The sequence below is a fragment of the Homo sapiens genome, chromosome 18, assembly GCF_000001405.40.
Source record: "Homo sapiens chromosome 18, GRCh38.p14 Primary Assembly".
NCBI lineage: Eukaryota > Metazoa > Chordata > Mammalia > Primates > Hominidae > Homo > Homo sapiens.
Genome location: NC_000018.10, coordinates 47,538,828 through 47,565,063, shown reverse-complemented (window position 1 = coordinate 47,565,063; position 26,236 = coordinate 47,538,828). Strand labels below are relative to the sequence as shown.

At 46.1% G+C, this 26,236-nt stretch overlaps 1 long non-coding RNA gene across 1 annotated transcript in view, besides 2 other annotated features; it reads right to left on the bottom strand.

Annotated features, from left to right (window-relative positions):
* MIR4527HG (MIR4527 host gene) overlaps nt 1–26,236 on the bottom strand; it is a 308,827-nt gene that overhangs the window by 29,487 nt on the left and 253,104 nt on the right. The window lies entirely within an intron of this gene.
* Nucleotides 3,361–4,145: an enhancer, noted in NCBI's record as "VISTA enhancer hs679". NCBI's record gives its function as "enhancer in: hindbrain (rhombencephalon)[5/7]" and the evidence as "EXISTENCE:transgenic organism evidence [ECO:0001131][PMID:17130149]".
* Nucleotides 3,371–3,952: an enhancer, noted in NCBI's record as "OCT4-NANOG-H3K27ac hESC enhancer chr18:45087483-45088064 (GRCh37/hg19 assembly coordinates)". NCBI's record gives its function as "activates a minimal SCP1, AML or CMV promoter by ChIP-STARR-seq in naive and primed H9 embryonic stem cells {active_cell/tissue: H9 hESC(naive and primed)}" and the evidence as "EXISTENCE:reporter gene assay evidence [ECO:0000049][PMID:30033119]".

Genomic DNA, 26,236 nt, shown 5'->3' with positions numbered 1-26,236 from the left:
AGGGAGCTGGTGAGCCCTTGGGACTCATGGATTTGATGTAAGAGAGAAGGCTGGGCAGGACAGCTCCATGGCAAAGAGCTGAAGGAAAAGGATGTCTGAATGCAGACAACAGAGATGACCCCCTCTGTCCTCTGCCCATCAGGACCCTCCACAGAATCTGGCTGCTTCTTTGGGTGTGGGCTGAGCTTTCTCCAGCCTTAGATGAAGGCTCAGGCAGAGCCCCACTGCAATCCTGCAGATCTCCCATTCACTGACAACTCCCGTTCTCTGCCCAGCCTCCTTCCAACTTAGGGATAGCATCATCCTTTTATTCTTTCCTTCGTTCAACATTTAGGACCTGCTTCCTATAGGGTAGGCTCTGTTCTAGATGCTGGGAACAGAGACCAAAGTAAAAATAATGAGCTCTTTCCATTGAGTTACCAGGCAACAAGGTAAGGGCTGTGATGGAGGTGTTTTGTGGACAGGGAAACAGGGATTCCCCACCCCTGTGAAGCTGATGTCTTGACACCTTCTTCCAGCTACTGCCATTTTCATTTTCCAAGTACTTTCAATTTGATGATGCCTGTAGCCTTTTCTTTTCTTTTCTTTGGGCTTTTAGAATGACACGATGCAGAATTTCTGTAAAGTTGTCTTCAGTCAAAAGCTTAAAATATTAGCTCCACTCTCTTGGGTAGTGATGAAAAATCAGGGAGACATTTGCTCAGATACAAACACTATGACCCCTGGATCATAACCCACAGCCATGTGTTTCTACAGTCAATAATAGTACAAATGCAATAAAACTTCACATTTTACATATTGCTGTATAATTTTAAGGTTCTTCCACAATCATCATCATTATTTGATCCTGACTTCCCCAAATGAAAGGTGGAATAGGTGCTGTTTCCTGAGTGACTTAGTCCATTCAGGCTCCCGTAACAGAATACCATAGATTGGGTAGCTTTTAAACAATGGGAATTTATTGCTCACACTTCTGGAGGCTGGGTAGTCCAGATCAAGGTGTTGGCAGATTGAGTGCCCAGTGACCTGCTTCCTGGTTCATAGATGGCTGTCATCTTTTTGTGTCTTCACATGGCAGAAGGGGTGAGGGAGCACCCTGGAGTCTCTTTTATGGTACTAATCCCATTCATGAAGGCTTTACCCTCCCAAAGGCCCCAGCTCCAAATTCCATCACCTTGGGGCTTAGATTTCAACATGTGAATTTTGGAGGGACATAAATATTCAGTCCATAGCACTGGGTTTACAGCTTGTGAAACTCCGCATGCAGAAGTTAAGCAACCGATTCAAGGTTCACACACTGGGCAGTGGTGGAGACATGGTTGGGATCTGGCTGGAGACTGGACATCCTGAGTTTCTGCTGCACACACAGCCCTTCTGAACAGAATGATGGCTCCTTCCCCAGGCCGCTGTGCTTCATGCCTCTGGATCAGCTATCTCAGGCCAACAGATCTGCCAACTGTTCTTTCCATAGTGCAAGGCTGCAGCGGGAGGAAGCTAGCTTCCTGACAAGGGCGTTTATGAAGTTCACTGGTCAGTAACACACCTGGTAAAATGCCAAAGCCTGGGCACCGACATGAGATCAGAAGGGAACCTAGGGGAACTCTGCTGGGGTTACCCGAAAAAGGGCAATCCTATGCCTTCATGTATCTTGAACATAAATGAACATGAACAAGAGGCAGACAGAAGCAGGGTGAAGGGCACGGACTCTAAGCCTGGCTGCTGGATTCAAAGCCTGCTTTGCCACCTACCAGCTGTAAGGCCTTGGGCAATCACTTAAACCTCATCTGTTTCCTTATTTGTGAAACAGGGGTTGTGACAACATCCACCTCATAGAGTTGTTATGAGGATTAAGTGAGTTAATACTTATTAAATGCTGAGGGCAGTTCTTGGCATGTGGTAAGTTATTTATAAATGTTAAATAATGATGGACCCTCTAAGGCAGCGATCCCCAACCTTTTGGCACCAGGAGCCAGTTTCATGGAAGAGAGTTTTTCCATGGACAGAGGGTAGGGGATGGTTTCAGGATGAAGCTGTTCCACCTCAGATCATCAGGCATTAGATTCTCATAAGGATCACACAACCTAGATCCCTCACATGTGCAGTTCTCATAGGACTCCCATGAGAATCTATTGCCACCACCAATCTGCCAGGAGGCAGAGCTCAGGCTGTAATGCTGTCTTGCCCACCCCTCACCTCCTGCTTTGTGGCCCAGTTCCTGACAGGCCTAGACCAGTACCAGTCCATGGCCCAGGGGTTGGGGACCCCTGCTGTAAAGGCCAGGCACTGTACTGGTACCATGGCAAATGGAGGGCCAGGACATGCCACTGACCCCAGGGAGCCTACAACCTGCCCACTGCCTGTGTCCATGTGAGATCATGGCCATATCTTCCACTGGACTCTCCATGTCAAATATTTACTGTGACATCTCCTTTAACAACAAAGTATTTAACAACTGGTAGTATGAATGAGAGTTAAATAACCTTAATGTCAGGGATTAGGAGGATGGGAGTAAGGAAGGATAGGATGAGGTACCTATCTATGGATGTCAGCAATGAAACCCAGACTGAGCACTGTTAGTCTCTGTCTCTATCCCTTCCAGCAGGACAGCCACTAGGCACCTGTGGCTATTGAGTACTTGGAATGTGGCCAGTCCAAACTGAAATGTGCAGTAAGACTAGAACCAAAACAGAAAGCATGCCAAATATCTACTTAGTAAATTTTCATATGTATTCTATGTTGAAATGATAGTATTTTCAATACTTTGGGTTAAATAAAATATACTATTAAAATTAAGTTCACTTGCTTCTTTTTACTTTTTAAAATATGGCTACTAGAAAAGTTTAAATTGCATCTGTAGTTGTGTTTGCAGCTCATTTTATTAGCCAAGTGCTGAATGACATGGGTCGCAGCAGATGAGTGAGCTGGGAAAGGAAATATTCAACTTCCCTTAGGAAGACACTCACAGAGAAGGTGAGAGTTTGGTGCAGGTCCCAGGGAGATGCTCTTTCCTGTGTATCCAGTGCCTGACCAAGGTCCCATTCTTACTGGGTGCTCATCTTTGATTTGTTGAATTATTGCCAAAATGTGACCTGGCTGTGTGGTGGGAGAGAGAACAGGAAAGCAAGGAGGCCTAGGACAGATGCTCTGAATTTTAATTACATCCCTTATACACCTGAAGATACTAAAATAGCCAGCTGGAGCCCATTTCTTACCAGGTGCAGCCAATGGCTGTCCATCTGGGGCTTTCTATTTTGTTGAGTTGGCCTCCACTGAATCAAATTCTTTGAAGGACTCTGCTGATGCCAGCGTTGGTGCTTCCATTTTAAAGTGCTGCGTGAAGAAAGATTTGGACTTCATTGCCTCCTTTTCTTGGTGGCTGAATTGAGCCAGTTCCCACCTTCCCCGGACCACATCCCTACACCATCCGTGGGAGAAAATTTAGGAAAAGTTGAGTCTCTGCAAATGGCTTTAGGGGAGGGAGGGGGAGGATTCAGTAAGACCGGGCTGGTGGCCGACCTCGGAAAGCCAAGACTAATTCTGCAGTCCAGTCACTCCGTCAAACATTTAGTGTATCCGGGTGATTGTTCCCTGGTAGGCTGAGATGGTCTATCTGCTGGGCCTTTTGTCATGTTAACTGCAGCCGATCAATGGATTGAGGTCAGGACTTCTGATGTAGGTGCAAGCTTAGAGGGAAAAAAAGTCTCAAAGATTCATTTTTTCTCGTCTGGTAACACTCCGGTCACTTATTTTTTCTCAGTTAGCCTCTGCCGCTCTAAAGTGGATATTGATCAGTGCTTTAATGCAAACCTGTCAAATTAATTTTGCAGACCTGGGATATGACTGGCCTAAAATTGCTTCTGCATCTGTTCTCTGCAGCAAGCCTATGAATTTTAATCACGGCCAGAATGGGTTGGTGGCTTTTTTTGTTAGAAACTTGAATAGGAAAGGTTTAAACTGTAAATGCCAGGGAATGATGCTGTTTTGTTCTTTTCAGAAACTCATGTGGTGGAGGTCAAAGAAATTATTATGTCGGGTGTATTCTTGGCAGATGCTGTGGGAAGCTTTGTGGGCTGGCTTTCTCCAGAGCTGCTCCCGGGTAGCAGTGGTGACTCCGTAAACACATGCAGTTGCAGAGCCACAGCTCTGGGGGGCTGGCGGGCACTGGGATGCCTGCATAGTTTGCCACCCCAGCCTGTGGCGCTATCCCTGCCTTCTGTTTTTTGTTACCCAAGACAGCTTTACCTCCTGGGGGTGAAGGAGGCTTAGATTTCACTTTGTCTTGAAGATTTAGGTTCCAGACCTGGCTCTGCCTCACCCTCCCATGTACTGTGGGTAAGGTGGATGTCTTTTTGAGACTCAGGTAATCATAGAAAATATTTAATGTCAAGAAATATCCTAAGGCCAGGCTTCTCCAGACAGGGCCATGCTATGTCAGCTCCCTACGCCCAGGAGTCCTGCAAGGGCAGGGTGGTCCTTAGCCACTGCCAATGGAATTCTCACTGTGTCCCCTGCAGCTGCTGTCCTGAGTCCTTGTGGGAGGCTCCCCACCCCTCCACACCTCAGATCCTGGGCATGGAGACAGAGCTGACACCCCCACTGTCATGCCCACTTCTGGCCACCACTACCACTGCCACCAGAGTGTCTTCCTGCTGCTTGCACTCCCTGGGCACTTTCCCCAACTGGACTACTGCGGCCAGATGGCCCTTTTGCAGGGAAAGGTGTTCCTGGCATCCCCACTTCTCTGGAGAGGGTGGCACATCTGCCCCAGCCACCCAGGGGCTCTGTCCCTCCCTTCTGATGGCAGCTCCCCTCCCCACAGACAGTCATGGCAAGTTCACTCGGCACAGAATCAACCAACTACAACCCTAACCGTATTTGCCCTTCACTGCACATCATCATCATGTATGTATTGAGTAGCTGTTATGTGCCAAGATCTGTTCTCAGTGCTTTTCATACATTACCTAACTTAATGCTCACAAAAAAAGATGCGAGGGACTTGCTGTTATCACCCCTGTTACTGGGAAGGCGACTGAGGCACACAGGTGAGATGATCTCACCCAACTTGCACAGTTCACTCGTGGCAATGCTAGGCTTGAACTCAGGCCACCTGGCTCTAGCACCCACCTTGTGATCTGCACTGTCTGTCTATCTGCCATGTGCAGGGAAGCACACGATGCGGTGTCACCTTATCTGGGTACGTGATTGTTGTATCTGTGTTATTTTTACTTCCCCAATAAAACTCCAAACTTGAGGATGTCAACCCTCCTATTAATACTCAAATAGATAAATGAAGGTGAAGAACCACATGATCACAGAGAACAGGCCAGGGAAGTGTTTGGGGACAGCCTTGAAGGCAACTCTGATGAATTCAGCTTTACAAAGTAAGGGGGCGAGATGGGTGAGGGATAGAAAAGAGAGAAGTGAGAAAAAGGGGAGACAGGAGAAGGGGAAGGGGAAGGGGAAGAGGAAGGGGAAGGAGAAAGGGGAAGGGGAAGGGAAGGGAAGGGAATAATTTCATTTCACATGGGTGTATCTTGTCTCTCCAACTGTAAGGTCCCAGCAGTGGGAGGTTGGGAGGTGAACCCCCTCTTTCCTCTGGGAGTAACGAGCTGGAGGGGCTGGAAGACATGGAACTCAGAGCCAGCTGACACTCCCAGGTCAGAGAAATGGGCAGTGAGAGACCCCTCAGGAGCCCATGGGAACTCACATGAGGGCCCACGAGAGAGCAGCATCTGGAAGGTTGTGGCTGAGGCATTATCGGCCTGCCAGGGGTCAACAGAGAAACAGCAGAGCCAACAGAGAGAGGACTCCCCAGCACCTGTAGTACCCAAGGGACACTTGTCTCCCTCCCTGGGACCTTCCTGGAGGAGCTGGACACTGAGGAGGGAAGGGATCTGGGTTGTCTCAGAGCCTGGCCAGCCTCCTCCCCAATCCCATACCCCTATCATCCTTGCCCCAGACAACCCTCAAGAGAGTTGGGGACCCTCTCAGACTGCACTGGGGAGAAGCAAACAGATGCTGTTCAAACTGAACTTGAAGTTATACTTTGAACTGAACAGGATTGTCCTCACTGAAAGTGATCAGAAAGTTGTGGAATTTAAGTTGTCATTGAAGCATGGAGGTAGGAGACTGAGCATAGTAGGTTTGTAATCATGCTCCCTCCTTTTCAGTGAGCACAGCCACTCCCCAGCCCAGAAACAGAGCTCCCTGTCTCATATATGGGTTTTAAATCTGAGAAAGGATCCTGATTGCACAGGTTTGGGTCAATCTTCAGTCCCTCCCTGTGAACTGGCCACTGTGGGGGAAGTTCTGTAGGTAGAGAAGCTCAGTCCATCCCCAGAGGGCCGGGGAGTGGGGTATGGGAAGGGGTTCTCTTATTAGAGAAGACAGCAGCAGGGAGCTTGGGGGTAGTTACCTGCATGGAGGGAGTCAATCCCAGTGTGAGTGTTTTGTGGCTGTGCACAGCTTTGTGCTGAGTTCCTCCATTCATCTGAAAGGAGTCAATGCCTCTCCTGCCAGAATGGGGTCTCCAATCCTACCTCATCGCCTCTCATATGTGAGTTGGGTCTCCCATGTGTGAGAACAGGCTCCTGTGAGGCCCCTGCCTCCTTCTCTAGCATCCTCCTCTACGCCAAACAGAAAGCCAAGGAGGTGGGAGGTGCTCAGTGAATGCCTCGTGAATGAGTGTCTGCCTGAGTGAATGAATGACTCTGTGAATGAAAGGAAAGGAAATGAAGAGCAATTAGACACACACATACCCAGAGCTCACCTAACCACACAGCTTCCTGCCCTCCACTCATCTGCTAAAAGCTTTGTGCCCATAATATCAGGTTTGGGCTCCTCAGTCCCTGAGGGGAGGGCAAGAGGCTGCTGCTCTGTGGTCTGCAGGAGAAGGCACCAGGCTAGGGACCAGGGGAGTTGTCCTGCTGTTAATTACTTGTGTGACCTTGGGCAAGCCACTTAACCTGCCTTTGCTTCAGTTTCATCGTCCATCAAATGGGGCTAATGCTCTCTGTGTGTTTACCCCACAACAGGCATGAGGAAAACAGACAAGATGGCAAAGTTAACAGCACTTAGACAAATCTAAAAGAAAAACAGTGAGGGAGAAGGAAGGCATTCTTATGACCCTGGGCCTCCCTCGGGGGTGCATTTGATTACACAGCTGGATGTTAGCGTGGTGTGTGGGGAAGGCAGGAAGGCCCTCCACACCGAGAAGCTCGCACTTTCAGAGAAAATCCCCCAATATCCAGATGGGGTCCTGTCGTGTGCCCAGCCCTGAGAGGGGAGAATTTAAAAATGAAAGAATCCCGCCTGCCCTTAAGAAAAGATACACACCTGTAAACAATTGGATCTGCAAAAAGGGTTCAGTCATGTGTCACAGAAAATCAGTCAGTCCATAGATATTTGTTGAGCAACTACTATGTACTGGGTGCTGTTCTAGAAGTTCAGGATAGGAGGCGGACAGAGTCCTGCCCAAAGAGCTACACACCAGGGAGTGAATGAACAATAAACAAGCAGGCAGTAAATGAATGGGATGGCATCAGAGCCTGGTAAATGCTGTTTTAAAAAAATGAATAGGGTAACGCCATAAAGAGCAGCTGCGGTGGAGTAGGAGGCTGCTTTAGTGGAATGATCACAGAAAGGGTCTGGAAGGTGATGACATTAGAGCCGAGGCACACAGATGACAGCCAGAGGGCAGCGGAGGGAGGGCCCGGAAACGGGCAGGGTACCGCAAGCACAGGGAACACAGGATAAGGTGGGCTGGGCCTGGCAACATCCACCTTTACTGGCTATGAGGAGGAGGGCAAGGCAGTGGGAACCCACTGGAGGCTTAAGTAGGGGTGGACATGATCTGAGAGAGAGAGAGTGACCAAGCAAATGTGGCACAGTGTTGATGATGGATGGATATGGGTGATGAAGGCGTGACAATTCTCGTATTTTTCTTGCAGGTTTTCTACTTGGTTGAAATTATTTCAAAATAAGAAGATGAAAAACAAAAGACCACTTAGGCTTCTGGTGGACAGCTGATTGCAGGGATTGGGGGAGGAAGGACGCCTGAGGAGGCTCTTGCAGGAGTCTAGGTGACTTGGACTAGGGGGAAGATGGAAGAGAGAGGTCATTTCCAGGTCATATTTAAGGAAGTTGTGTTTGTTTTGTATTGCTCCTATAACAAGTTACCACAAACATGGTGGTTATCAAAAACACAAATTTGTCATCTTATAGTTCTGTAGGCTAGAAATCCAACACAAGTGTCACTGGGCTAAAATCACGATGTCGAGCTGTGCTCCTTTCTGGGGGCCCCAGGAGAGAATCCATTTTCTTGCCTCTCCAGCTTCCAGAGGCTTCTTTCCAGCTCTTGCACAGAACCTCCTGCTTACAGAACCAGAAAGGGTATTGAATCCTTCTCATGCTGTCATCTCTGTCTGACCACAGCCTAGAAAAGTCCTTGCTTTTAAGGACTTATGTGATTGCATCGGGCCCACCCAAGTAATCCAGAATAATCTTTCCATCTCAAGATACACAAATCTTAATCACATCTACAGAGACCCTTTTGCCATGTAAAGGAACATATTCACAGGTTCATGGAGATCAAAGCGTGGACATCTTTGGGGGCCACAATTCTGCCTATGAAAAGGTGGAACCATTAGAGTGAATTGGACTGGATTTGGGTGTGAGGGAAAGAAATGAACCAAGGATGACTGCAGGGTTTCTCACCTGAGCCACTGAGTGAAGGATGGAGCCATTGCTCCAGAGAGCAAGCCCTTTAGGAGGAGTGGGCTGGTGAGGTGGGGAGAGCCAGGGAATCAATTGCTCTGCTGGAAGTGTGCTAAGTTTGGGCTGGCACAGGGCAGAGTAATTGGGGGGGGCCTCATGCTGGTGCCAAAGGGAAGAGAGGAGCATAAGCAAAGATGGGGCCTGAGAGTGGCACTCATGGGGGTCACCATGCATACCTCCTCAGTACATAAGCAAGTACTGAGCCCCTGATAGTCACTGGGCCTGAAGATACAAATACCTTCATAAATAAAAGATGTTCCAGAAGGAAATGGAAGGCCAGACGCAGACATGGTTGGACAGACAGGTTGGGGTCTGGTTTACAAGGCCTTGGGTGCTAGGTCATCAGGTGTGGGCATGAGGCAGGAACAAGGGGCGGCCCCTGTAGGGCCTTAAGGAGACAAATGGCACAACACAGGAAAAAAGACATGACAACATATGCAGTCTCTAAACAGGCACCAAACTGGCTGAGTGTGGGCACATGCAGACAAGCTGGAGACATGGGGCAAGGCTGCTCTAGCCCAGCCAGGGAATCCTGGCTTGGGCCTGTCCCTTCCTGCCTCTCCTGGCTTGAAGGGATGTTCGTGGCACTGCAGGGTGGGGGATGTGTGGAAGGAAAGGGAGAGGCATCTCTTCCTCTTTCTGAACTGCCACTCTTAAATCAAACAATTCAATCCAGGTGGAAGAGGCTTGGCAGCTGGGAGGGAAGAAGAAGGAGAAGCAGACGATAAAAAAAAAAAAAAAAATCAATAACGCTTCCCCATAAAATAAATTGAGATTTGTGGAATTCACTTCCACTTGACATCGAAGATGCCGATTTGGTGAATTCGTTTAAGGCCAAATTGAAAACGTATCATTTTAATCCGGGTCCCCAGGCTGCCCCAGGCTCCATGGCAAGAGCCCTGGGGACTGAGTTTACTGCAGCTCCCGATGCTCATTTGGGGCAGATTGATCTCCATGGCTTTGGAGAAGCAGTGCTGTGGGTGGCAGGAGAGGTGGGTAGTTCCCCACCCCCTCCTCAGGCCAAGGTCCCTCCAGCTAGGATGCCGCCAGGAACCACTGATGTTGCCATGCTTGGCTGCCTGAGAAGTGGCTTTAAGAGGCAGACACAACGCTGGCTAGTCAGAACCTCAGGCATCATGCAGCTCTTTCCACCCCACCAGGCCTTCCTGTTTCCTCCTGTAACCTAGTGTGCAATAAACTACAAGATATGTCATAGAGTGGATCCACTGTGGTTCTGGATCCCCTGTCCCTAGGGCATGAGTATGACGTGAATGGTGGTGTGGAAGGTGAGGGAAGAGGGCCGCTAAATATTAAGAAAACAAGGCAAACACATGACAAATGAGCACCCCGAGGGTTTCCTTGGCCTGGGCTTCAAAGAAAAGAGGACAGCTCTAAAAAGCATTGGGTGAGGCTCTGGAACACATCTTCACTAAAGTTAAGATCCAGTATGAGGGGCTTCCCTCGTCCGAGATGTGGACACAAGGGCAGGAGAGTCTCCAGGCTGGCGGGTTAAGATGATGCCAGCCCTAGACTTTGAAGAAGCCATTTCTAACTAGACAGGAATGGCCAGGCTTGGGGTGGTGTGGCTAGGACAGCTCAGAAGTGTGGGCAGACAGTGTGGTCCAAAGTGCAGAGTGCTGGTCACCAATAAATATCCTAGGTGAGCATGTCCGGGCTGCACGAATTCGAGCAACTGAACCTCTCTGTGCCTCTGAGTTCTTATCTATAAAATGTAGGGGTGGGGGGTGGGCACGGTGGCTTACACCTGTAATCCCAGCACTTTGGGAGGCCGATGGGGGAGGATTGCTTGAGCCCAGGAGTTTAAGACCAGCCTGGGAAACATGGCAAAACCCTGTCTCTACAAAAACATATATGTATTAATAATAAAAATAATAATATAAAGTGAAAAAGGGTAATAATGGCCTTACCACAGAGGATTACCTCGGACCCTTCTTTTTTTTGGACAGAGTCTCACTCCGTCACCTAGGCTGGAGTGCTGTGGCACAATCTTGTCTCACTGCAACCTCTGCCTCTTGGATTCAAGCTATTCTCCTGCCTCAGCCTCTCGAGTAGCTGGGACTACAGGCATGCACCGCCACACGAGGCTGATTTTTGTATATTTAGTAGACATGGGGTTTCACTATGTTGGCCAGGTTGGTCTCGATCTCCTGACCTCAAGTAATCCACCCACCTCCCTTCCCAAAGTGCTGGGATTACAGGCGTGAGCCACCATGCCCAGCCTACCTAGGACCCTTCTATGAGAAAACATAAAGTACTCAGAATCATGCTTGGCAGATTGCTGACACTCCATAAATGTTACTATTTTGATGATTACAGTGACCAGTGGGGGGCCTTTGGTCACACCATTGAGCCCTTACCCAGTGTCCGCTCTGTAAAGTGAATGAGTGGAAAGAGATGCTCTCTGTGGTCCACAGCCTGGGCTTGCCTGAGTCTTTGCTTCTGTGGATCCTTCTTCTCACCCATCTGACTGCACAGCCAAGCAAGGGCTGTTCACCCCAGGGCTTCTAGTCTCAGCAGTTTCCAGCCCTAAACCCTTGGAAGCTTGGACAGAGACATTTGAGCATTTGCAAGAGCCCCAAGAAAGTCAGCCCAGAGGGAGGCCCAGGAAAGGTGGCAAGGACTAAAGCAAGACTAAATCCATGGTCAAATCCATCCCAGAGCCAACTTGGACTTGCTGCGACCAGGCTTTGGGCTTCAGGACTTGAGCTTGATTTGACCTCCTCAAATTGAATGCTCACTTTAGCCTAGATTTGCAAAGCAATTTGTTAATGCTTCTGTGCAGGGGCTGTTATCTCTAGGGTTTTAAAGAAAAAACTCATTTCAATGTAAAATTCATAGCACCAAATTGAAATGTATTCTGAGCAGAGTAAGCGGTTCAGAATTTCCAGACCCTGGCGATCAGCAGCACGTCACATTGTAATTACACCTTTCTTTGTGCGTCAGCTGCAGGCCTGGCGAGGAAAATAGAAGATAATGCTGCCACTTTTCAGCAGAGAAAGAACTTTTGTGACTGTTCCCTTTCAGAGAGAGCTCTCCCAAGATGACAGGAGAGAGGGACACCTGAATCAATCTATCAAGGGGAACAAAACCATTCGTATCTTTAGCCTCCCTAGCCAAGACAGATTCTGCTCAACAGTTGCTGGAGTTTGGCTCTTATTTCTTCACATGCATTAGGCAAAAAAATAATAATAAAGCATCTTCTTTCTGGCACATCTTGGTTCGTTTTGCTCAAACAGGATCCCTAGCATCTCCTTCCTCAATACACACATGCACACACACACATGCATGTACACATACAAGCACATGTACACATCACACATGTGGACACAAAACACTGCTCACACACATATATGCATGTATGCATTCATACTTATACACGTCACACACAAACATACATGAGCACTATACACACACACATTTCATAAGCTTAGTGACAGATATACACACACTTCTCTCCATTAAAAACAATACTAGCAGACCCATAATTGGATCATACTTCTAAAAATAGAGAAATCTGGATAAGGCCTGGTTTAGATGATACTAGGGAATTCTTGTTAATTTTCTTAGGCATAATGATGATCTCACGATTAAGTAGGAGAATGTCTTCATTCTCAGGAGATATAGGTTGAAGCTATATAGTGTCAACATATCTGCAACTTGTTTTCAAATGATTACCAGAAAGAGAGAGAGGAAGTAAATATGGTAACCTGTTAACAGTTGTTGGAACTGGGTATCTGGGTGTAGGGCAGAGGCGTATTCTTTGTATTATTCTTTCAATAGTTTGTGTGTTTGAAATTTTTGTCCTAATTAGAAATTAAGCAAATCAAAATCAGTGAGAACATTTCCAAATTGTATGCAGTTGTCAATTTCTTTGAAATCTTCCCTTTGTATCCCTTCTGTGTATGCTAATTGTACAAGGACTTCAAATTTTGATAACCCCCACACTGATCTAATTTTGCAAGCAAGCATTAGGGTTTTTTATAGTGTCTGGAAAACAGAGAAGCTCTGAAAGGGCAGGAAAGAAGGAGAGCAAAAGGTTTTCTTAGGTCAGGTGAAAATTTGCAACTCTCTTACTTTAATCTTGGTTAATCAGGTCTTTAGTCTTTAATAATATTTACTGTAGGGGTCATAGCTCTAATCACTTAAACTAATGAGCTTCTCTAATTAATATTAGTAGATTACCAATTAGATCTGTAGAGTTACCTACAAACTCAACTTTGTAGGTAAAAGGAAGGTCCATGAATGTCACTTGGCAGTTGAGGCAAAGATGGTATGTGGGCTAATTTTCAGGTAATTGGAAGCTGTGGGCCTTTTGCCTTCTATTTAGAAGCAACTGTCAGCTACAGTTTATGGGAAAAAAATTTAAATCCACACAACGAAATTGCCACTTGCTTCCTCATTAGAATCCTCATGATAATGCATCTCCACTCCCTTCTCAGCCCTTAACAACAATAACAGCTAACAATTACAGAGGGCTGTCCACATGCCAGCATGAATAACTTATTTAACCCTATGGAATATTTACAATTATTATCCCCACTTCACAGGTGAGAGAACTGAGGCAAGGTGAGCAGCAGAAAGCGAAGACAGGCCGTGTGTCCAGGCAGTCTGACCCCAGAGTCTGTGCTTTTAAGGATTCTGATAAACCACCAGTACCCATCACACTCAATGCCCCTGCCAAAGATGTCCCTCTGAGGCTAGCCACATCCCTCCAGCAGGCCCCCAAGGACATATTTTTGGTCACGGCATCTTGAAACATTTTCTGGACCTGATCTTTCTACAGTAATGCCTCCATTAACTGAGTGAGAAACTATGCCAATAATACCTTGCTTTGTCTGAACCTCTGGGTTAAAATAACGGCTGCTTGTTGCCTGGCAGCCAGGCCTTTCTCCACTGGTCCTGATCATCATTCAGGTTTCTCCTGTTTGCCCCCACCCAATGCACACCTGTGCTACAGCCACAGCAGCTTCTGTTTCTGTGCAAAGCAGCTCCCCACAGGGTTATTCGTGCTATTTCCTCCACTTAGAAGAAATGTCCTATTCCCTGCCCCCAAAAAGAAGTCAGAACATGTGCTCTCGGACAGGTCAAATCAGATCACCTCCCCTACTGACCCTGGCAGGGAGAATTCCATGTTCCTGCTCTGTGGGTTGGTGGAACAGCATTGCTGGTACTTTCCAGCATTTCATCCATACTCCCTGCCTTCTCTGGGCACATGTCTATTTTGTTCAGGTGGTCACTCCTCCCCCTTGGGACTTAGAGGTAAGTCTTGGTTGGTCTAAGCTAGTTCTGCTTATTACATTCTCTTCAGTTAGAAGCTGGTTCAGGGATGCATGCAGGACCCTACATGCCCATATCAGGCCAACAAGCCACGCTTGGGGACTTCTGAAGCAGGTTTCCTCACTGATAAACAGAGGCCCCACCTGGCAGGCAGTGATGTGCCTGCTTCTTTCCTGGACTTTGCTGGGAAGTGATGCCTGGAGCTGCTGTAGCCTTGAGGATCATCAAAACCCTGGCACATGGGTGGGGGGCAGGGGGCCAAGAAAAAGCACAAAAGTGGGTTCACACTGTGCCTGGAGCTGCCTGGCCTCAGGACTTCCCATTATGGGAGATTATAAATCCCCACTTTGAGTTACGTTTACTGTTACTTGCAACCAAAAGCACCCTGATCGATAAGATCCACATCACTTAGTACTTTGCAGTTTGGATTACAGGCAGCTGTGTAGGGTCCCTCTTCCTGCTTTTGTTCTGTTTAGGCTAGTTTTGTTCCCTGAGGACAGATATCTTGTTTTATTCATCCTGTACTTTTCACATCCAGGTCAGTGACTGACTAATACATAGTAAAAAGTAATTTGTTAACCAGGATGTTGATGGATCCCAGTGTTTCCTGGGGAGCTTCCTCTTAGAAATTATCCAAAGGGATTTATCCATCTCATATTCTTTCTGGAATAAGATAGGGTATAAATATGCAAGTGGGATGGAAGGAAGGAAAGAAGGAAGGAAGGGAGGTAGGCAGGAAGGAAGGAAGGGAGGGAGGGAGTGAGGGAGGGTTAAATGTGTTTATTAAGAATATTGTTACTTCTAGAAAGGGTTTCTGTGACAACCTCCATGGGAGAGGCCCCATCTCCAAGGGCAGTGTGAGATTAAGGTGTGGGAATAGTTATGTTTTTCAACCTTTTCTTCATCCATCTCTCCTTTGATACTTTAACATTCTCCTGTGTCCTCCAGAGAATTTTATAAGATCCCTGGGGGAGAAGGGCATCTTCTCTGGGAATTTCTGTCTTCAACAATTTCCCATCATTCAGAAAGATTTTTCTCAAGCATTAATTTCTGTAGTTTACATTTTTAGAAATTAGGTTTTAGCCGGGCGTGATGGCTCATGCCTGTAATCCCAACACTTTGGGAGGCCAAGGCAGGTGGATCACTTGAGGTCAGGAGTTTGAGACCAGCCTGACCAACACGGAGGAACACCATTTCTACTAAAAATACAAAAATTAGCCAGTCATGGTGGCAGGCTCCTGTAATCCCAGCTACTCAGGAGGCTGAGGCAGTGGAATCACTTGAACCGGGGGGACAGAGGTTGCAGTGAACCGAGATCATGCCACTTCACTCCAGCCTGGGCAAAAGAGCAAAACTCTGTCTCAAAAAAAAAAAAAAAAAAACGAAAAGAAAAGAAAAAGAAAAGATATTAGGTTTTAATAATATCCCCCAAATAAAATAAAATTATTTATTTTATTTATGGTTGTTTTCAAACATATATGTTTTATTTTATTTATGGTTATTTTATTTATGGTTGTTTTCAAACCTTTTCCCCCATCCCCAAGCCCCTAGAGATTCTAACATGGCCCTCCACCTGGAGACCACTAGTCCAAAGCCCCATATGGTCACATGCAAAGACCAGGCAAGGGCAAACCCCTGGCACTGGGCTTGTGTTGCTACATCAGCACTTGACTTAATTGCATACTTTGTTAACTGGTGATTATAAATAGTGAAACACCACACTGTGCCTGCCTTTTTTTTTTAATCTTTGGGGCCAAGGTTAATTGTGTTTGCGAGTTGTTTCAATGCCCTTTGATAGTTGAGAGGTGTTCATAATGGCCTCAGCCCTTAATTAAATGAACCAAATGTTAGGATAGAGAACTAAAACTTCACAGCAGCTTTACAGTCTGCCAAAAGCTGAGTGTCTCGCCAGTTCACAAATTATATGGAAGGTTTCTCTCAGGCAGGAAATATGGTTGGGCAAAGCTGGGAAACAGGAAGACAAAAAAGCCCAGGCCAAGAGCTCAGACAGAGGTGTACCTGCAGGGCAGAGGCAAACCCCAGATGGCCAGTAGTTCTCCAAACAGATCACTGTCCTTGCCATGGGGCACAGTTCAGAACTTTGTGGAGTCCTGTTTCTAGCCTCTCCTCTTTCAATCCACCCTGCTAGTTGGCAGACCCTCCAAAAATACTGTTCACTACATCACTCCCTGCTTAGAAATCTTTAGTTCACCATTCTACAAAAATTGACTGGACACTTTCTGCTAAATACACCCAGCACTGTGCAAGGTGCTTTGGGGATGCAAAGATGAAAAGCTAGTGTTTTCCCCTTGAAGGGGGAGATGAGGCATGAACGGTAACAGCATGTATGTATGCTCTGCTGTACAGCACCAGTGTACTTGGCTGTCATCATCAGAGATATACCCTAATGCACCGTAATGCATGCACACATAGAAAAGATACAAAGTACCATAACGGAGGCCCCACATTTGCCAGGAGAGATAAGAAAAAGGAGCCTCACTGTGCCTCAGTTTCTATATCTGCAAAATGAAGATAATGTTAGAATCCTCCTCAAAGAGCTATAGGGATGATTATATTAAGTGAATTAATACCTGTAAAGTGCTTTGGATGATGCCTGGAACTTAGGAAGTGCTATAGAAATTTTTGCTACTATTATTACTATTTACAGCTAACACAAAAAGTAGGGTGGGGTTTGTGGCCAAGTAGGTGTTTAAAAAAAACTAAAAAAAACTAATAGAAGTCATGAGGCTGAGACTGTCCCAATGCTAGGTAAGCAAAACAAAGCCCAACTCAGTGTAAACAGTAAAACAAAACTTAAGCTTAACCAATCAGAAACCACCAAAATAACCTCTAACTAGAAGCTTTCCACTTTAACCTATTGAATGTATTTTCTTTCTCTTGCTTCTGTGAACACCTTATAAAAGTTTCCCTTCCTGTCCCCCAGGTGAAGCCCAATCACTTGGAGTCCAGTGCTGCCCAATTCATGAATCACTGTCTGCTCAAATAAACTCATTACAATTTCAGTGTGCCTAAGTTTATCTTTTAACATAGGGAATAAGAAACCTAACAGAGTGTTTGGACACTTTAACCCGGTCTTCAATGTCCAGATCTCTGAGTTCACCCTTCTTGGTCACCACTTCCAGGTTGGGACCTGGTCACAGCCAACGAGGTTCATCTCCACCTTGCCCTCTAAACCCGCCAGGTGCACTCCCTTTTCTGCTCACGCTTTCACCTCTTCAGGTTACACATCCAAAACACACAGACAGTGCGGGTCTCCCAGGGCTAGAAGTTCTGGAGTGGCTGCACTCTGCCCACATGATGTGGAAGTGCATATATCACACCATGGGCATCTGGGGCCGGAAGTTCCCATTCCCCTGAATTAGTTCAGTGTCCAGATCATCTCATCTTCCCAAGGAGCTGCCCTTAGGAGGCTATGCATATAACCAGATGAGGGACACCGTTCCTTTTTCAATGTGCAGATGCCTATACAGGACATATTCTAAAATAACAGCCCACCTTACCAGGCATCCAGGTATGCAGCAGCTACACTGGAGGTGTAGAGAGACAGAGGCAGGTTGCATGTGGCAAACTTTTTTTTTTGAGACAGTCTCACTCCAGTTGCCCAGGCTACAGTGCAGCGGTGTGATCTCAGCTCACTGCAGCCTTGACTTCCTAGGCTCAGGTGATTCTCCCATCTCAGCCTCCCGAGTAGCTGGAACTATAGACCATCTTGCATCTAATTCCCCATTCTTCACCACACCTCCAGGAGGAGTAGTCACTGGCCACTTCAAGATTCTGGCCCCTCTCCCTACACTCTCCTCCTCCCTCCATGTTGCCCTCCAAATTCCTCTCCCTCTAGTATTCCTATTTCTCTAGGTCCTAGTCCCAAACCTAGTTTGCACGTCCAAATGCATTAAGACACTTAGTGAAACCAAAGGACTTTTCCTTAAGCAGGTTCCATTCTCCTTGGGAGGCAATGATGGCCATGAATAGCAATACTGTCCTCCTTTATGCATTTGAATCTCTTCCTCCTTCAAGGTGAATCCTCAGGCTACTTGAGGTGGCAGGTGGGCATCATTCCCTTAGTCTCCCCAGTTGCCCCTTTACTCAGGGACCACCCCTTCCTTCAGTCTGAATTTGAGGGGTCTGTTAAGTTGTCCTGACTCAGTAGGAAGGCCCTGACCCAGCCCGCCCCAGCACACCCCAGCACATGACTCACAGCCTCTCCTGTCCAGTTGGCAAGAGCTTTCTCTTCCGTTGCCGACTTCTTTTCACCCTTCCTCTCTCCATCATTCATTCTCACAGCTGGACCCCTGTCCTGGGCATTCACCTGTGCTTTAATCTAACTCTGTGGATGCGAGTGACCCTTGTCCCTCCTGGTTGGCCATGTGCTCCTCTGGTACCTCTGATGAGAGGTGTGACCTACACCTGGCCAATCCAATGCCTGCCTCTTCCAGCCAAGATTTGGGCTCTAGAGGGGCTAAACCATGGGTCGTTCTCAGTGGCTGTGGCAGAGCCAAGGTTTCGGTAGAGGGTGGTGATGACCATACTGGTCACAGGGTTCCAAGCAGACTGTCCTGCTGGCTTGATCTTTACTGAGCTGTGCCACCTTTTGTTCCCTAACCATTTCTTCCCCCACCCCCACCCCGAACCTTTTGAGCTACCTGTTGTCTTTCCAGAAAATTCTTTTCTCCTTTAGTCAATCAGAGTTTTTGCAGGAAAGAACCCAGACTTTCTCACTGCCGGCAGCCAACAGATGCCCCGTAAACACTGGGGGCTGGCCACAGGGCTGTCTGACTTAAGGCAAGTAGAGCTGCCAGGATCAGGCTTTTTCATTGATCCCTGTGTGCAGGCCTGGCCCAGAAGAGGGGCCCTGTCGTCTCACAGTGGATGAATATTAAGTAGGACTAGGCAGGCCCATTACCAAAGAGATCTCTTTAGGCGTAAACAACCTTAAGCTGACTTTGAAATAAAGATAGTGATGCCTGTTTAAGGGTAAAGGACTGCGCCAGGTGCATTTCTCAACACTAGTATCTAGGAATTGATGCTATGACCAGAGAAGAAGGGCTATTTCCTCACCAAGAGGACTAAACCTGAGCATGTAAGGAAGCTCCTCTGTGCCACCTGCTGTACTCCTTGCTCTTCCCATAGACACCCGACTTCACCTTGCTCCCTCCACTGGTAACACCACCTCTTTACATCCAACTCGCACTCAGCCATCAAGCCCAGCTCAAATACCACCTCTGCCAGGCAGCCATCCCTAATCAGCTCCACCCCATCTCAATCTCCCTCCTTGGTCCTTTACTCAAATCGCTTGGGTGGGTGGGCAAGAGTTACATAAGTGCATGGCTTCCTTCTTCTACCGTCAGCTCCTCGAGGGCAGAGTCTCTCCTCGGATTCCTCTGTGTACCACCAGTTCTCAGTGCAGGGAATAGGTGCTCAGTGAGAATCAATGAATGAATGAACTCTTGTCATCCAAATGAATGTATATGAATGCAGCATCTCTCTCAGGGTACACCTAGATTCTCCCACTGGGTTGTCAGCTTGGTGGAAGTAGACCTTTTCTGCTGGGATATGCTGCAGAGTAATCATTTGAAGAAGAGATAGACAATTGGTGATTAAACGCATACATCCTTTCTGATCTAGTGGATAAGAGTTAAAACTTTGGGCAGAATTGGCAGAGGATCAAATATTATTCAACATAAAGAACTTTGTGGCAATTAAACATGACTTACAATAGATCAGGCTTCCTTGTGATCTGTGTACTCCCTGTTTGGGGGATTCTTCCAGCAATGACTGTCAGGGATGCAGTGTTTCCCATATACGTGTCTTGTTTGTGGAGGACCTGCTCCAGAATTCTCCAGAAAACTTGTTTATAATACAGGTCTCCGAACACTACCCCCAGAAATCTGACTCAATAGGCAGAGGTGAGCCTGGAAACCTGAGTAGCTTGCACAATGCTCCCCAGCAGATTCCCTAGCACAGTCAAGTCTTGGAAGCCACATCTCGGGGGGTCTCCACCTGGAGTGGGATATGGGACCAGATGATGCCCAGGAATGCCTGCAGCTCAGAAGGAGTGTTCCTCCAGGTTGGATTAGGATACCATCCTGATTCCTGACCTTCCCTTCAGCTTTTAGTGTGTTTTGTCTTTGCGTTTTTTTTTTTTTCCAATAGGGTTATTTACCTACCTGTTGCTTTCTTTAGACAAATTCAGGAAGCATGATGCTATGGGCTAAATGTTTGTGTCTCCCCAAAATCCATATATTGAAGTCCTAACCCCTAGTGTGATGGTGTTTAGGAGATAGGGCCTTAGGGAGGTGGTGATTAAGTTTAGATGAGATCATGAGAGCTGAGCCCTGTGATGGAATCAGTGCTCTTTAAGAAAGATGCCAGAACACACACACACTCTCTCTCTCTCTCTCCCCTCCACCCCCAACATCTCTGCCATATGGGGAGACAGCAAGAATGGGGACATCTGCAAAGCAAGAAGAGGGCCCTCACCGGACACTGCATCTTGATCTTGGACTTCCAGTCTCCAGAACTGTGAGAAATAAATGTCTTGTTTAAGCCACCCAATCTATGATATTTTGTTATAGCAGCCCCAATTGACTGAGACACTTGCTCAGCACCAAAGAATACTCTCCAAGATGTCTTTGAGAGCAGGAGGCAATTGGCAACGATTCTGATAGAGTTACTCTAACTGTATTCAGAGAGCTTCATGATATCAGCAGCCTGGGCCATGAGGGGTCTCCCCACTCCTTCCTTCTTTAACAAGGTACTGCAGCATCACAGTCATTTGGGGCTCTTGGCCCTTGTAAATGGTCACATTCTGTTTCAAGTGACCTCATGATTGAATCTAAGAGACAAAGTGCAATGGGCACTGATGCACCTGCTGCAGCCTGTTGGACACTAACCTGTCTGATAAGTGGTTAAATGGCAATCAAATACATTTATGTGTACCCATCGTTTCACTGCAGACAAGTTGGTGTATGGCTGTCATTTGCACAGGACTATGCAGCAACTGATTTTACTCCTGAGGCCCAGGGCTCAGGAGAGGTTGTATGCAGGCAGGCAGGCAGGCAGGCTTGCTTAGGTCCGAGGCAGCCCAAACCAACTCCCACCCCTTCTTTCTCAAGTTTGAACTTTGAGAAGGAGACTTGAAACCTTGGAACACAAGTGAATTCTTGTTCTCTTTTCCTCCATATCTGGAAAGTTGGTTGAGGTAGGGGTGTGGTGGAAATGAACTTTCAATAGCTTGAATCAGGGTCAGCTCAGAGCAAAACCACAACACACAACAAATACAAAAACCTTGTCTTGACTTCTGTTCCACGTCCCTTCTCAGGGTCCCACTTTCCCCTAACTGTCTCTTCCCCCTCTCCTCTGCCCCAGTGCCACCCGCTGAGACCTTGCTCTCAGCTGCCAGATAAGCAGATCTCTGCTGATAGAATGTGCTGTGGTTTGCCCCCCATATGCTGAGATGCACAGCCAGCCACGAAAGAGCCCTCATGAAGAGTGGGCTCGAGACTCAGGGTTCCAGCTCTCCTGACACTCCTTAAGTCACCCTGGCTGGGTGGTCACAAGTACTCCCAACTCATGCAGTCCCTGGTATGGGCTTTGCCTGCTACAGAGTTGTTTTTTTCTTCTTCTGACAGTGCAATATTGCATATAATAACAATTACCAATGACCTCCAGTGGGTTGTCCAATCTCATTATTGCCGATGCATTTGGTACCTGCCACTGCCAATTTGCCTCAGCTGAGGTTTTATTCAGTGGGATATGATAGAGCTGTACAGCAATCTTTTTCCATTTAAATAGTTTAATTGAGGAAAGCTATCAGATGTTTCCAAATTTAATGTACACAACAATTTGCTTTTTCCTATCTCTTTTCAGAGTCGAGTTGGAAGAAAATGACATCTGATTCTTATAGAAGGAAAGCAATTACATTTTGGCGTCTGCCTTCCCCAGCTTGCATATGTTTTTAAACATAAAAAGAAATTCTTAATATGTAATTGTCAGGTAATAAAAAGGGAAAAATATTTTACTTTGTGTTTATGAAGTAATTTTTCAAAAGCATAAGGGAATTACATGTTAATGTTTTATGTTTATGATTGCACTCTAATACTGCACTGTTTCTTCAAGTTTGGAATCTTTTTTTCCCCTCTCCGAAGATAAGAGCTGAGATGATCAGGCCTAGCTTAAACCCTGCCTCCCTGCCAGAGCTGTGCTTCTGTACACAGAGCTTCCTTCTCAGAGCTCCCTCCTCATAGCTCCTGATCTCTGCACATGATTTAGCACTTGTATTCTACACTGAGTTATTACAATGTGAGACTGAATGGCCTTCCCGTCTACATTATAAGCTACTTGAGAATGAAGAGAATTCATTTTGCATTTGTATGTTCTCCACAATCCTCAGCAAAGGGCTGAGCTCAAAATAGTGGATGCTCAACAAACACTTGTTGAACAAATTTATTCACTGAATTGCCAAATAACTAATCATCGAAGAATGAGAATGCTGTTATTTTAACATCCAGTACATGATTTAGAAGAGTCCATTAAATGGAATGGGATGGAGGGATAGGTGGATGGGTGGGTAGGTGGATGGGTGGGTGGGTGGATAAACCCCACACAACTCATTTGAGATTGTGCTGATATTTTGACCAGTTGTATTAGATCTTATAGTTCCCCAAGCTTCTTCTTAGCTGCAAGACTTATTGACACCATGGATAATAAGATCATGGGTTTTAAAGCATTTTCCAGAAAGGATTGAGGGGTTACTCACAGAGTCATAGGGTATGAGGAGGGCCTGGGTCTTACTATCTCCGTTTCTCAGGAAAGAAATTGCTGGCCTCCAAGTTCATTACAGTATTTACTGAGATTTTATGATTACAAACTTCAACCCAACACTGCCCAGCAATTCTATTTCTCTTTAAGTACACTTACCTTCTCCTTTATATCCCATATAGCCCATATATTTATATCTCAAATATCCCATATCCCTTCTCAGCTGTTGAACTCATCTAATACGTGAAGGCGAAAAGCGAAGCAGGTGATGGGAATTCCCTCATCCTTCCTCCACCTAATCTTCAGTCTGACCTGCACCTGTGCCATCTTCTCTCTTTCCTCCTGTCTTCATGGAAGAACTGCCTCCCCCATTAAAGCTGTCACTCTTCTTGCACAGGCTGGAGAGCAGTGGTGCGATCTCGGCTCACTGCAACCTCCGCCTCCCAGGTTCAAGCGATTCTCCTGCCTCAACCGCCTGAGTAGCTGGGATTACAGGCATGTGCCACCACGCCTGGCTAATTTTGTATTTTTAGTAGAAACGGGGTTTCCCCATGTTGGTCAGGTTGTCTCAAACTCCTGAACTCAGGTGATCCACCCACCTTGGCCTCCCAAAGTGCTGGGATTACAGGCATGTGCCACCACTCCTGGCTAATTTTGTATTTTTAGTAGAAACGGGGTTTCCCCACGTTGGTCAGGCTGTCTCAAACTCCTGAACTCAGGTGATCCACCCACCTTGGCCTCCCAAAGTGCTGGGATTACAGGCATGAGCCACTGCGCCCGGCCAGAAAACACTGTTTTCTTAATGTTGCCTTCTTCTCCAGCCTCCACCTGATATTTCTGTTTTCTTTCCAGAAAAGCTTCTGAACTGTCTATGTGGACCATGGCCACTTCATTACCCCCTGTGTTTTCCACCGTGCACCCCAGTTGGCTTCTGTCCTCACATTGCCTTAAAATTGCTCTTGTTGAACATCGATGCAAAAATCCTCAATAAAATACTAGCAAACCGAATCCAGCAGCACATCAAAAAGCTTATCCACCACGATCAAGTCGGCTTCAACCCTGGGATGCAAGGCTGGTTCAACATAAGCAAATCAATAAATGTAATCCATCACATAAGCAGAACCAATGACAAAAACCACATGATTATCTCAATAGATACAGAAAAGAACTTTGACAAAATTCAACAGCCCTTCACGCTAAAAACTCTCAATAAACTAGGTATTGACGGAACGTATCTCAAAATAATAAGAGCTGTTTATGACAAACCCACAGCCAGTATCATACTGAATGGGCAAAAACTGGAAACATTCCCGTTGAAAACTGGCAAGACAGGGATGCCCTCTCTCACCACTCCTATTCAACATAGTGACGAAAGTTCTGGCCAGGGCAATCAGGCAAGAGAAATAAATAAAGGGTATTCAAGTAGGAAAAGAGGAAGTCAAATTGTCCCTGTTTGCAGATGACATGATTGTATATTTAGAAAACCCCATTGTCTCAGCCCAAAATCTCCTTAAGCTGATAAGCAACTTCAGCAAAGTCTCAGGATACAAAATGAATGTGCAAAAATCACAAGCATTCCTATACACCATTAACGGACAAACAGAGAGCCAAATTATGAGTGAACTCACATTCACAATTGTTACAAAGAGAATAAAATACCTAGGAATCCAACTTACAAGGGATGTGAAGGACCTCTTCAAGGAGAACTACAAACCGCTGCTCAAGGAAATAAAAGAGGACACAAACAAATGGAAGTATATTCCATGCTCATGGATAGGAAGAATCAATATCGTGAAAATGGCCGTGTTGCCCAAAGTAATTTATAGATTCAATGCCATCCCCATCAAGCTACCAATGACTTTCTTCACAGAATTGGAAAAAACTACTTTAAAGTTCGTATGGAACCAAAAAAGAGCCCGCACTGCCAAGATAATCCTAAGCAAAAAGAACAAAGCTGGAGGCATCACTCTACCTGACTTCAAACGATACTACAAGGCTACAGCAACCAAAACAACACGGTACTGGTACCAAAACAGAGAGATAGACCAATGGAACAGAACAGAGGCCTCAGAAATAACACCACACATCTACAACCAGCCAATCTTTGACAAACCTGACAAAAACAAGATATGGGGAAAGCATTCCTTATTTAATAAATTGTGCTGGGAAAACTGGCTAGCCATATGTAGAAAGCTGAAACTGGATCGCTTCCTTACACCTATACAAGAATTAATTCAAGCTGGATTAAAGACTTAAATGTTAGACCTAAAACCATAAAAACTCTAGAAGAAAACCTAGGCAATACCATTCAGGACATAGGCATGGGCAAGGACTTCATGACTAAAACACTAAAAGCAATGGAAACAAAAGCTGAAATAGACAAATGGGATCTAATTAAACTAAAGAGCTTCTGCACGGCAAAAGAAACTACCATCAGAGTGAACAGACAACCTACAAAATGGGAGAAAATTTTTGCAATCTACCCATCTGACAAAGGGCTAATATCTAGAATCTACAAAGAACTTAAATTTACAAGAAAAAAACAAACCCATCAAAAAGCTGGCAAAGGATATGAACAGACATTTCTCAAAAGAAGACTTCTATGCAGCCAACAGACACATGAAAAAATACTCATCATCTCTGGCCATTGGAGAAATGCAAATCAAAATCACAATGAGACACCACCTCATGCCAGTTAGAATGGCAATCATTAAAAAGTCAGGAAACAACAGATGCTGGAGAGGATGTGGAGAAATAGGAATGCTTTTACATTGTTTGTGGGAGTGTAAATTAGTTCAACCATTGTGGAAGACAGTGTGGCGATTCCTCAAGGATGTAGAACTAGAATTGCCATCTGACCCAGCAATCCCATTACTGGGTGTATACCCAAAGGATTATAAATCATGCTACTATAAAGACACATGCACACGTATGTTTATTGTGGCACTATTCACAATAGCAAAGACTTGGAACCAACCCAAATGTCCACCAATGATAGACTGGATTAAGAAACTGTGGCACATATACACTATGGAATACTATGCAGCCATAAAAAAGGATGAGTTCATGTCCTTTGCAGGGACATGGATGAAGCTGGAAACCATCATTCTCAGCAAACTATCACAAGGACAGAAAACCAAACAACGCATGTTCTCACTCATAGGTGGGAACTGAACAATGAGATCACTTGGACACGGGGCAGGGAACATCACACACTGTGGCCTGTCAGTGGGTAGGGGGCTGAGGGAGGGATAGCATTAGAAGAAACACCTAATGTGAATGATTAGTTGATGGGTGCAGCAAGCCAACATGGCACATGTATACCTATGTATCAAACCTATACATTGTGCACATGTACCCTAGAACTTAAAGTATTAAAAAA